This window comes from Homo sapiens, chromosome 8 (genome assembly GCF_000001405.40).
Source record: "Homo sapiens chromosome 8, GRCh38.p14 Primary Assembly".
NCBI classification, from domain to species: Eukaryota; Metazoa; Chordata; class Mammalia; order Primates; family Hominidae; genus Homo; species Homo sapiens.
In genome coordinates this window covers 17,548,346-17,561,465 of record NC_000008.11, presented here as the reverse complement: position 1 = coordinate 17,561,465, position 13,120 = coordinate 17,548,346, and the positions used below count along the sequence as shown (strand labels likewise).

Genomic DNA, 13,120 nt, shown 5'->3' with positions numbered 1-13,120 from the left:
GCAAGATAATTGAACAGTAAGCGGTTTCCCCCACACTGTTCTCATGGCAGTGAATAAGTCTAGCGAGATCTGATGGTTTTCTAAGGAGAAACCCCTTTTGCTTGGTTACCATTCTCTTCCCTGCTGCCATGTTAAGATGTGCCTTTCGCCTTCCACCATGACTGTGAGGCCTCCCTAACCACGTGGAACTGTAAGCCCATTAAACCTTTTTCTTTATAATTTACCCAGTCTTGGGTATGTCTTTACTAGCAGTGTGAGAACAGACTAATACAGACTGCTAATGTGCAAAAATAATATATCATCTGCATCTTTTCTCCTTGTTTTAGAGAATGACATCACCACCCCATCTCTGACCATCAAGTCTGCTCTAGGGGCAACTCCTATTTGCTCTGAGAAGCCTGTGCTTCCCTACTTGCCACCAATTATCCTGTCCTGTAAAGGCCAGTGAGAGTACGGACCGTCTCTCTTGGCATCCCAGGTGCCCAGTGGAGTGCCTGACACACACGCAATGTTCAATAAATGTCATTGAAAATATGAATGAATGATTACGTAACTGTGGGTAAACAAACAAGGATTTTCTATATTATTGGACAATTCCATCGGGTTCCAGTCAGGTTATTGGCAGGGGTACGTGGCCTGATGCTTTCACCCAGAGGGCATCCTAACCTCTAATGAATGTGCCAGTTTGTATTTCTGTCACTCTCGTCTTGAAGTATTCCTTCCTCTTTTGTTCAATTATCAAGATACAATAAATTTATACAGGTAATATAAAGATGATCTCAACCACTGGTGATGCTTTAGGTGAAAATTTCAGGGTGGTTGCTAATATATTCTAGGGCAATGTTAGGCCCTCTTTTCTCTTTCATATCATGCCAGCTCTACTCACACACATCTTCTGGGTCTGTACAATGTAAGCAGAGAAGAAGACTTACCTAGGAATCCTACCAGAAAGCTCACGAGAGAAGCTGACTGCTGTGTTGGCAGAAGGGAGGGGCAGAAGAGGGTCCGCATGCTGAAGCCCTGTCTCTGCAGCATGGTGACCTGGGACTCACTCTTCGAGGTTACCCTGGGAGACGATCCCAGACCATCTTTCTCAGGAGAACATTTGGGCTGGTCGTAAGATAAGCCAGGCTGGTACCTATTTCCAAACAAACATCTATGTCTTTATTCTCAAATAGACATTTGGCCCAAGTGAAACCAGCACCTAAAACCTTAAGTAAGACATCATACAGAGTGATAGTGTGTAGAGTAAATCAACACTTATGACTCCAGTCCCAGAGCATGCTGAGCCAGGACACAAACCTTTCCGATAAAACAACTGCAGCAAAATACCCCAATTTCCCCCAGTAGTCACCAAATCAGAGTCATACAATAGATGGCACAAGAAAGTGAAATTGTAAAGTAAGGCAATCATGAAAAAAGAATGATTATTCTGAAATTACCTATGTCCAAAGGAAATGCGGTTCATGAAAACAGCACAGAAGCTCTGGGTAAATTTCAGCTATAAAATAATGCAGTCACCAGTTTGGCATTCAAAGGCCTCATCACAATCTGTCTTTCTGGCCTCATCCTTCCCTACCGATTCTTCTAGCTAAACCCAGACAAGCTCATCTGACCATCCTGCCACTTCTACACCCATTGCATGTCATTTTCCTTTATTATTTTATCCTCCTCCTGTATAGCTTATATCAAGACATCAGCCGTGATATGGTTTGGCTGTGTCCCCACCCAAATCTCACCTTGAATTGTAGTTCCCATAATCCCCACGTGCCGTGGAAGGGACCCAGTGGGAGCTAATTTCATCATGGAGTGGTTACCCTCATGCTGTTCTCATGATAGCAAGTGAGTTCTCATGAGATCTGATGGTTTTTCTTCTTTCGTTTTGTTATGTTTTTTTTTGAGACAGAGTTTCGCTCTTGTTGCCCAGGCTGGAGTCCAGTGGCGTGATCTCAGCTCACTGCAACCTCTGCCTCCTGGGTTCAAGTGATTCTCCTGCCTCAGCCTCCTGAGTAGCTAGGACAACAGGTGCCCACCACCATGCCCTAAGGGGCTTTTCCCCCTTTTGCTCAGCACTTCTCCTTCCTGGCAGCATGTGAAGAAGGACATGTTTGCTTCCCCTTCCACCAAGATTTTAAGTTTCCTGAGGCCTCTCCAGCCCTGTGGAACTGTGAGTCAATTAAACTTCTTTCCTTGATAAATTACCCAGTCTTGGGTATGTCTTTATTAGCAGCACGAGAATGGACTAATACAAGCCTGCTTCTCCTCCTAGTGTCTGCCCCAGGCTTTTCAGTGCAGCCTCTTCTCCTTCTTGGCAGCCTTTACTTATCCTTGAAAATAATATTTTCCCTCCATATAAAGAAATAGGCTCACTGAGAAAAAATACATGAAAGTATACAGGAGAAATTCAAAACCAGCCATAATACCATCAGCCAGTGTTAATCACTGTTAGCACTTTGGTACAATTTCATCCAGGCATATAATGTCTATATCGGCATATATGATTTCTTCATGAAAATTTATTATTTAAATAAGTTCAGACACTATATATAACTATAGTTTTATATCCTGAAATGGATATATTTCTCCATAAAATTAATACCATTTTATTTGCTGTAGAAGAGTTCAGTGAACAAATGTAGCCTCATTTATTTAACCACTCCTCTAGTGATATTCAGGTTAGTTTCATTTTTTCACTATTGTAAATTACCTTTTCCAGAAACATCCTTTACATACATCTGTGTGTGCCTCTGATTAAATCTTTAGCACAAAAATTTTTACAACTGAATCAATGGAACAAAAAGCACAGCATTTTTAAGTGTCGTTAGACATTATGAGAAATTGCCTTTCATGTAGATCAGGCCAACCTATCACTCATGGTCAACTTGCATTTGATTCTTTGCTAAAGACCAGATACGCTTCTTCCACTTTTCATTGCTATTTTGTTAGATGTGACCTCTCACCTTGGTGAGACTGCTGGCTCCCTGGAAGCCAGGAGAGTGAGGGCTCATTTTCTCACTCCCAGAGTCCCTCGTGCATGGTACACCCTGTAGAACCACCAGGTGACTCACCTGAGGATGAGAACACAGGCTGCCACCAGAGAGTAGGCCATGAGTGTGCCAATGGACATCATGTCCACAAGCGCCTTCAGGTCAAACAGAAAGGCCATCAAAGCTAGGGGGAGAAGAAAAGAACGGTGAAGTAAACGGCCCAGGAGGAAATTCCATACAGTTACTAACGTTCAAGTCAGGGACATCTGACTGCCACTTCGTTTTAGTACCAAGGATAAGTCAACCAGAGTGTAGAAAATATATCTCTCACAGTTAATAAGATGTTCTTTAGGTCATATAAACTGCTGATAGGACTTCAAAAACCCTCAGCTCTCTGGCAACTATCCAAGGCGCATTCTACTTGGATTACATAAAAAATATTTGGCCTGACAAAGAGTGAAAACATTACATGACAGAACACTGTCATTGATATTTCAGAAGAAAAACACTGCTAGGAAATACTGGCTAGCTCCTTTTTTAAAACCACAAAAAAACATTCAAACAGAAGGTGCTTTCATTATAGATATTATATAACCACTTTAGTTTCCATATGCACTGAGTTATAGACAACTCAATTCTTTTTTTCTTTTTTGAGACAGGGCTCACTTTGTCACCCAGGGTGGAGTGCAGTGGTGCGATCTCGGCTTACTGCAATCTCCACCCCCCTGGTCCAAGCGATTGTCATATCTCAGCCTGCCGAGTAGCTGGGACTACAGGCGTGCGCCACCACACCTGGCTAATTTTTGTATTTTTCGTAGGGGCAGGGTTTCACCATGTTGGTCAGGCTGGTCTCGAACTGGCCTCAAGTGATCCACTGGCCTCGGCCTCCCAAGATGCTGGGATTACAGGTGTGAGTCACAGTGCCCGGCCTGACTCAGAATTATTTTAGTAATTCTGATAAAATAAAGTAAAATAACTTTCAATTAAATTATGTTTATGAAACAGACTAAATTCTACTACGATTAAAGCCATGCATTCCAGGTAGACTTACTAGATCTGAGAGATCAGTTTCTGGTCCTGCATACCAAATCCCAAAATACTAAGAGACAAAACATACTTTAAACAGTTAAATAGCTTAACTTCCACTAAGCAACTGTTTTCTCCACTGAAACATCAAAATAGTGACAATATTAACTTGAATTTAGCATATAGTTTTCTGTGTCATAGTAAGTAGATAACATCACATTCCATTTATATGATGTTTCAGATCCCTCTACAAGATTTAAATCTCTGTGATCTCATTTTACCTTTGAGTCAATGATCCTATGAGAAGGGAAATCATTTATGTTTAGGCATATAAAATGGCTGGATTTGACAATTTTTGACCCCAAACTCAGCAATTGTGAGTGGTTTTTCTAACAGAATTATCCCCATCTTAGAGATAGGCTAACTTAGCAAGGCCACGACTACCCGTCGGGGCAGAGTTCCCCTTATCCAACAGCCCCATGTTCCTTCTACAAGATCACAGTGTTTCTTTTAACACACTGCGTGCCTCACTTTGAAAATTCTTTGCTGGGCACAGAGGTTCACACCTGTAATCCCTGCAGTTTGGGAGGCGGGGCCGGGCAGATCACCTGAGGTCAGGAGGTTGAGACCAGCTTGGCCAACATGGTGAAACCCCATCTCTACTAAAAATACAAAAATCAGCTGGGCGTGGTGGCACGTGACTGTAATCAGAGCTACTCAGGAGGCTGAGGCAGGAGAATTGCTTGAACTCGGGAGGTGGAGGTTGCAACGAGCCAAGATCGTGCCACTACACTCCAGCCTGGGTGACAGAGTGACACCCTATCTCAAAAAAAAAAATTCTTCATTGCTCATATACGTCAGATTATTACAATTTTGGTATGCTTAAAAATCACAGAGAGCCAAATAAGGTAGCCAAGAGAGAAGAAAATGATAAGTTGTCCACACAAGCGCTCTGATCCAAGTTAAGAACAAGCAAAGTAAGGTATGGGAGTACAAAATCACAAAAATATTTTAGAGCATTTTAAAAAGTGGTCTATTATAATTATCTTCTTTTAATTATTAATTTTAATATCTTAACATGCCACCAAATTAAATTCTTCCTGAATAGAGAAAGATAAGCTTTTAAAAATTCTGCATCATTACTGGCAAGTATTTTACCGGAAAGAGAAAATTTTTTATGAGTTAAATAAAACGTATGACTCTTTGTCAAAAAATATTTATAAACTACCTTTAATATCATGTGTTGTTTAAAAATAAAATGGGCTTCACATCATCTGGGCAAACCTTCATTTTAGGGGGGCAGAAATCTAAGCCTGAGAAAATAAGTGACTTGACCTTCTAACATAGTTTAAGAAAGGGCCAGATTTATAAGAAAATGTTTACAAAGTGAAAGTGTTTAAACAAATACATTCTGACCCTGAAAAAAATTCCATTTTACACAGAATGAAGCACTAGCTTTTTCTAAGCTAATTTCCTAACAATTCAGAGCCTCAACGAAATTGTCATTTTGGTTTGAATTTATAGTGCCAAGATTGTTCATTATTTTATGTATAAAGCTTGCAAAAGTCTTTCTTTTGCTTCCTGTAACAGTACCTTTAAGGCCATTGTCTGGATCTAGAATCTCACTGAAATTTTCTGCATGAGATAAGGATCTGGCCAAAGGTATTTTACATGGATATTAAGATGTGCCAAAAGACTAGCAATCTGGATTTTCTGAACATAATTTAAGTACCAAAACTGTTGAAAGGAAAAATAGATTCCTGATGGAGTTGGAGAGGATATGTATGTTCCTAACTGTTAGATGGCTGCGATGGCCCTGGAAGCAAGGATGCCCACCATACTGAGGATGGCGATCACAAGGGCCAAGCATAAATCATCTTGAATATTTCTTATTAATAATGGGTAAAGCTTAATTTACCCTATGGTCCCTTAGCAATATTCGACGTATATCCTAGACCAAAAAATTGAATCATTATTTTAAAATTAATATTTCAAAAATTAAGCAAGAATTCCTTAATCAGAAGTTTATGTATCAATAATATAATTTTGTGTGCTAGTTCATCAGAAAAGCAATTCATAATATTTAGTGAAGAGCTATTATAACCCTTTGTACATTTGTTAGAGCCCAAAAGATTAAAATAACAAAACAGTAAAAAAAAAATCCCAAAGGGTCAATTAAGAATGAACTTCATTATACCACCGCCACCACAATTTTCACATGTTAATCCCAATGCTTGTATACTAATTTTTATCAGTGATTTTGTTTTTTTTAACTTACATGCACAGCATGCAGACCCTCTTTATAAGTCCATGCATGCGAATTAAATGTTCCAGTCTAATGCTCAAGAAACCTAAGTTTGTAAAGCTTACCAGAAATGACCCCTGCAGTCAACGTGGCAGCAACTGGTGACTGCCTCTTACTCACTCTGGCAAGAAATCTAAACAGTAAGCCATCCCGGGCCATGGCAAACAGAATTCGGGGTAAAGGAAACATAGAGCCCAGAAGACTAGAACAGAAAAATTCAAAATCCACACATGAGTTATTTTAAGGATTATTCTAGACAGGTATAGACAGGTAAAGACTGGACACACGAAAATGCAGAACCAAAAAATTCAAAATAGGAAACACTCACAAAAAAGTGACTGAACTTCTTGGAAATCAAAAAAGAAAACCACCTAGCTTTGTATTTTTAATGCAGAGTCCTTGATGAAAAAGATCCCCCGTTTCTGAAGAAAAGTCAACTCTCTCTCACCTGCCACTGCACCCGATGATAAAGTAGCAATTATTGGTGTCTTCGTTTTGGAATTGATTTGAGCTAGACATTTGAAAAGCAACCCATCCTCCGCCATAGCATAGATTACACGAGGCATTGGGAAAATGGATCCAAGAAGACTGAATAAAAAGCAAACACATGCAGTATGGCAAACATTCATGCAAGATTACATCCCCGAACGGAAATAAAATAATTGTATAATATTCAGCATGACAGTTGTAATTATGAAGTCATATTATTTATATTAATAATTATGTCATTATTTTTTAAATGCACTATGATAGGGCATTTAAAAAATTTGCTAATATTTACCATTGTGCTATTCATTATTCTGTTACAGATAAGTACGCAGCAAAATTATCAGACTAAAAACAATATTGCAAGTAATTTGTGTGTACCCACAATTATTACCAAATTAAAACTAAATAATTAAGACTTAACCAAACCAATATTATTAAGACATTTTTAGCAGCAACAACTTGGAAAATAAAATTACTAATTTGATATGTAATTAAAGAAAAGACTAAGTAATTTTATTTCATAAGCAATAGTTGCAACCTTTATTCAATAATGATATATTTTTTGCATTTATTGTACCAGTATTTTTTCTCATACACCCTGATCTTGGATCAAGTTAGTAATAATCCCCAGCATCATAAGATAATCAAGGTAGAAGAAGGGAAAGAAGATCAATTTACGTAAATGTAGTATACAGATGTGGCCACAGTGAAAAGTTAGCAGCTGAAGTTTAGTAAGACAGTTTTTGCTTGAGATGTTCGGAAGTACTTTTGTTTACTAGCTGCACCATTTCACACATTACTTAGTTGTGAAAAATAACCATGTAAGAGAAAACAAAAAAAGTATTTTATTTAAAAATCCTTCTTATTGATTTATTTTATTTGCGACAGGGACTCACTCTGTCACCCAGGATGGAGTGCAGTAGTACGATCATAGCTCACTGTGCCCTCAAACTCCTGGGCTCAAGCGATCCTCCCACCTCAGTCTTTCAAGTAACTGGGACTGGGACTAAAGGCGCATGCCACCATGCTCAGCTAATTTCTTGAATTTTTTGTGGAGACCGAGCCTTGCTACGTTGCCCAGGCTGGTCTTGAACTCTTTGCCGTAAGTGATCCTCCCGCCTCGGTGTCCCAAAGTGCTGGGACTACAAGAGTGAACCACTGTGCCTGGCCCTTCTTTATCTTTAATAAGGCTCTGTTGAGCTTGGCCATAGATGAATCTTTGTCCATCCCTTCTAAGGCCATGGTAGCACGGTATCTTCACAGTTCAGACTTTTGAAATTACTTGAAGCTATTCAAAATAAACCTCAAGGCCGGGTGTGGTGGCTCATGCCTGTAATCCCAACACTTTGGGAGGCTGAGGTGAGAGGATAGCTTGAGCCCAGGAGTTCAAGACCAGCCTCGGGAACTTAGCGAGACCTCCTCTCTATAGAAAATAAAAAATTAACCAGGTATGGTGTTACGTGCCTGTATCCTAGCTACTCAGGAGGCTGAACTGGGGAGATCACTTGAACCCAGGAGTTCGAGCCTCAGTGAACTATGATTATGCTCTGCACTTCAGCCTGCTTGACAGAGCAAGACCCTGTCTCAAATAAATAAATAAACCTCAACACTAGCAGATGGCTGAGAAACCAAGAGTGTCTAATTGCTACTCAATATTGTCTTAACTAGAAAATAAAAGGGAGTTTGAAGGGAAAAAATAAAGCTAGGCTGGTGAATTACACTAAAAGACTTCTTTTTCTAGTTTCAGACTTTCAGAACCTTATTTTCAGTTAAAAAATTACTAATCTGCCAAAAAGATTAATTTTCTCTTTGCAAGACTCTTCTACCATGTGGCATGATAAAAAACTAGAACGAAATATCTGACTCATATGTTAATTGAAATAAGGGTAGCTGAGGAAACCTGGGAAATGAGTTCTAAAGTATTCAAACAAGCAGCTACTGAAAATCTGAAAACTTGGGATTCAATGACCCTTTTCCCTTCACATATTTATATGAATTTCCACCATTTATTTAAGAATGATAATTTCTATTTCTAGACCAACTTCACTCTGATTGGTGCTTCCCTTCACATATTTATATGAATTTCCACCATTTATTTAAGAATGATAATTTCTATTTCTAGACCAACTTCACTCTGATTGGTGCTAAGAAGAAAAAGTCTCCATGTTTCACAATAAAAAGCACATTATATTTTTAAAAGACAGAGCATAAGTGTCCACTCCCACAGGCTCAGTATTACTTGAACAGAGTGTGGCAAATGCAAGGTCTGTACATACATTCTCAGATGTCTGAAGAACTACAAGTATCACCAACGCCAATAGAGAAAGATTTTAGGACAAGAATCCTGAAGTTTCATAATGCCTATATACATGACTACATGCCACAGATATATTTGTGTGTGTGTGTGTGTGTCTGTGTGTATCAATGCCATATGTATTTCTACTGAAGCCTGGACCATCACTATCTTAAAAAACTGACTCAACTAACAGCAGGGGAGTTTATCCTTTAAGATTTTTATGTGGAAATTCTGAGCAAGCCAATCAATAAATACAAAGTTGCATAATATTTTGTTTCTATTAGGATACTTTTTAAACAGACAAAAGCAAATTTTTAGACACTGACTACTTTGTAGAGTCCCAAACAGCCCGTGCCCCAAAGGCGATGCAATGTACCTTGTTGACAAGGCGCAGAGAGAACCAGCTGCGACGACATATTTGGCAGGACCCCATCCCACATATTCAAACGCTACAGGAAGGGGGCTTTTTTCATCGAGGAGGTAGTACGGCATCATAAGTGTTAAAGCTGCAGAGACCCCAAAATAGGCCATAAAGCAAACAAGCAAAGACGTCACAATTCCAATGGGAATAGCTTTCTGGGGATTCCGAACTTCTTCACCTAAGGAAATATAAACAAAAGATGTGTATGCTTAATAAAACATCAACAGGTAAAGAAATTAAATTGTGTGAAATTCTTCCTCTTCTCCAGGGTAGTTCTCCTCTGCTTTTGTCCCTTTTCTTATCTTGGTCCATCTATTTTATTTCATTTTATTTTACTTATTTTTGAGACAGAGTCTTGCTCTGTTGCCCAGGCTGGAGTGCAGTGGCGTGATCTTGACTCACTGCAACCTCACGCCTCCCAGGTTCAAGCAATTCTCCTGCCTCAGCCTCCCGAGTAGCTGGGACCACGGGTGTGCGCCACCACACCTGGCTAATTTTTGTATTTTAGTAGAGATGGTTTGCACCATGTTGGCCAGTCTAGTCTCTAATTCCTGGCCTCAAGTGATCCACCCTCCTCAATGTCCCAAAGATTGGGATTACAGGCGTGAGCCACTGTGCCCAGCTGATCCATCTGTTTTACATGAAATTTCCTCTATTCTTGAAGGTACTTTCTTATTACGTAAAAATCCGATTCCCAGAGGGAGAAGAGGAGAAGTCATGCCAGTCAGTTTCCTATCGCCAGGAAAGAAAAAAACCAACCAACCAACCAAAACCCGTAACATAGCAGCACTACTAAGTGTTCAGCGATAGAATAGCAGTCTTAATCCATTTGGAAAATGATTCATCTACAGAGATTAAATGACTGCTGTGCCATTCGGTAGGCCCTTAAGTATCAAGGCTTCAGATGAAGTTATTTCACCTATTTGTACAAAGTTCTAATTTCAATTTAAAAAACAGTATACTTTGTACACTAATGAGACTGAATACTCAAAATGTGGTCAATTGTATGGCCACACTATGACGTAAAAATAGAGGAGGCATTTAGAGAGTGACTCCGGCATGATTATGATGTTGTATAAGATAACATAGAAAGAACTGACACAATATTTTTTCTCCCACTAACAAAGAGACCATTTAAGAACATGATCATCATGTATGGCCCATGTGACAGCACTTCTGGACTGAAGGTTAGGGATGGTAATAATGACTCACATTTATAAAGTAATCAACAGCTGGCAAAGTATTTTTCATATGCATTATTTTAGGTAATCTTCCTACTATTTGAAGAGTAGGAATTGCTCTCCCAAACTTACTAACTGGAAACCAAGGGCAGAGAGTTGCATTCTTTCTTTTTATCATCAGCAGCACGTGTCACAGCTGGGCCTGGAACTAGTGCCCTTCTTACCCGAAATCCCTCTCTCTTTCCTGGACCCTCTGCTACCACACACGGGTACTCGTGCACAACAAGGAACACTCCTTCTACACTGAGCCAAGACACTGCTCTTACCAGTTGTTGCAATGCAGTCAAATCCCACAAAGGCATAAAAGCAAGTTGCAGCACCAGCCAACGTTCCCGTAAAGCCATAAGGCATAAAGCCACCAGCCCCATAGATACTTGTTCCGTTTTCAGAAGGTGGCTCTCTAAGAAAGAGAACAAACACATTGGAAAGTCACTTTGACAGAAAACTCTCCTTCTGGTGACTTTTCTCAGACTATATCCTTGGAAGGTGGTTGTGTTTATTAGCTCTTTGAAGATGATATACATAAAATTAAAACTTTACTCTCTCACCCTGTGCTACAGAATGTGGTGGTGCCACTAACAGTGACCCTCCTGTGTCACTGACACCCAATTACAGGCTGATTGATAGCACATGTAGAAGCCCCAGACCTGCTCCAGCTGAACCCACAGCCAGGGAGGATTTTGAGAGCAGAGATTCCACATACGAGCCATGCTCTGGGACAAAGACCAGAAACCTCTTCTTCTCATGGATGCTTATTCTTAGGAGAATTCATTCTTCAATTCATAAAGCATCGAGTAAGGCAGAGTATATGTCTCTAACATTCCCTAAGAAGACATTTAAAAACACGAAACAAAACTTCCTAGTCTTGATTGATAATAATGAAATTGAATATTTTATTATATGTTAAAAACTATGTAAGTTTATAGGATACCAATTTTTTCCCTTATTGGAATGACTAAACAACCTCTGTCAAGAAAAACATACAGGTGTACCCCATTCCATGCAATAGATATTTGTGTAATCTTATGTCTGCTTGTGCAACTAACAACATTCTCCAAAAAACAAGGTCTGAAGATTACTAAAGCATTAAGAGAATACAATAAAACTGAATGGTGGTCCTGAAGGAAGAACTAAAGGATGCAGGACTCAAAAATACTCATTGTTATTTAGTGGTGGCAAACTGCTGGGGGGAAAAGATCAAGTTTTTCCAATGGTTAGGATCTTCCCTTGCTCTTTCCCTAAACCCGGAGCAGAGCTTGAGGCTGGGAACCAGCAGCTGCATGGGTTCACACAGTTGCTCCAAAAGGAGCATACCTATACCTTTAAGTTTGAAGGGAATCTGGGAAGAGGGGTCTTGGAATGGAACAGTCTCTCAGAAGGGTCTCAGAAGCAAGAAATTTGAGAACCACTGCTCTAGAAGAAAACCCACATATGCCTTCTGGTATGGTTTGGCTGTGTCCCCACCCAATCTCATCTTGGATTGTGGCTCCCACAGTTCCCATGTGTTGTGGCAGGGACCCAGTGGGAGGTGGTTGAATCATGGGGGCAGGTCTTTCCTGTGCTGTTCTTGTGATGGTGAGTGGGTCTCACAAGAGCTGATGGTTTTATAAGGGAGAGTTTCCCTGCACAAGTTCTCTCCTCTTGTCTGCCACCATGTGAGACATGCCTTTCACCTTCCGCCACGATTGTGAGGCTTCCCCAGCCATGTGGAACTGTGAGTCCATTAAATCTCTTTTTCCTTATAAATTACCCAGTCATGGGTATGTCTTTATTAGCAGAGTAAAAATGAACTAATACACCCACTTAAAATATTTTCTTAAACAAGAAGGAGAAAAAAAAAAACCTCAAATATTTTACCTGGCACTTGCTGATATATTTTTGAGAAACTCTTCACTAATCTTCCAGTTTGCCACATTTCCTTTCACAAACCCAGCAACCATCACAAACAGAAGGACGAGAATATTAACAGCTGTGAAGACTTTATTCACCCAAGCAGACTCTTTTACTCCAAAAGACAAAAGACCTATGGAAAAAGGGCATTTCAATTTTTATTTAGCTTTAGGAAAGGCAATAGCATTTTGAGGCAAATACATGACTTTAGGATATTATTTCACCAGCATTCATGTCTTTAATTTCCATCTATCTACCTCTACTGCTAGTTCTTACTCATTAGTTAATTACCTAATTCTGAAATGTCTTCTGAATGCAACCAACTCAATTTCGGAGGCAGGTCATGCTCATAGAAGACACTACACTTTCTAAGAAACATAAATCTAGTAACTTTGGCCATCTTTGCCAGTGATAGGTAAAGTAACATCTAATTTCAAGGTAAATGGTTGCAAACTATTTTTTCTT

General features: G+C 39.6%; 1 protein-coding gene across 12 annotated transcripts in view; it reads right to left on the bottom strand.

The window, feature by feature from the left end:
* Window positions 1-13,120, bottom strand: part of SLC7A2 (solute carrier family 7 member 2) — a 76,498-nt gene that overhangs the window by 9,101 nt on the left and 54,277 nt on the right. For 8 of the 12 annotated variants that reach the window (XM_047422113.1, XM_047422114.1, XM_017013746.2 and 5 more), the window contains 6 exons: window positions 12,623-12,788; window positions 11,032-11,165; window positions 9,480-9,702; window positions 6,767-6,906; window positions 3,069-3,171; window positions 933-1,138 (listed from right to left, as the gene is read on the bottom strand). In XM_047422113.1, coding sequence (XP_047278069.1) covers window positions 933-1,138; window positions 3,069-3,171; window positions 6,767-6,906; window positions 9,480-9,702; window positions 11,032-11,165; window positions 12,623-12,788 — 972 coding nt within the window. Of the gene's footprint in view, window positions 1-932; window positions 1,139-3,068; window positions 3,172-6,383; window positions 6,521-6,766; window positions 6,907-9,479; window positions 9,703-11,031; window positions 11,166-12,622; window positions 12,789-13,120 lie in introns of all 12 variants that reach the window. The other 4 variants (NM_001370337.1, XM_047422115.1, XM_047422116.1 and 1 more) reach the window with 1 other exon arrangement.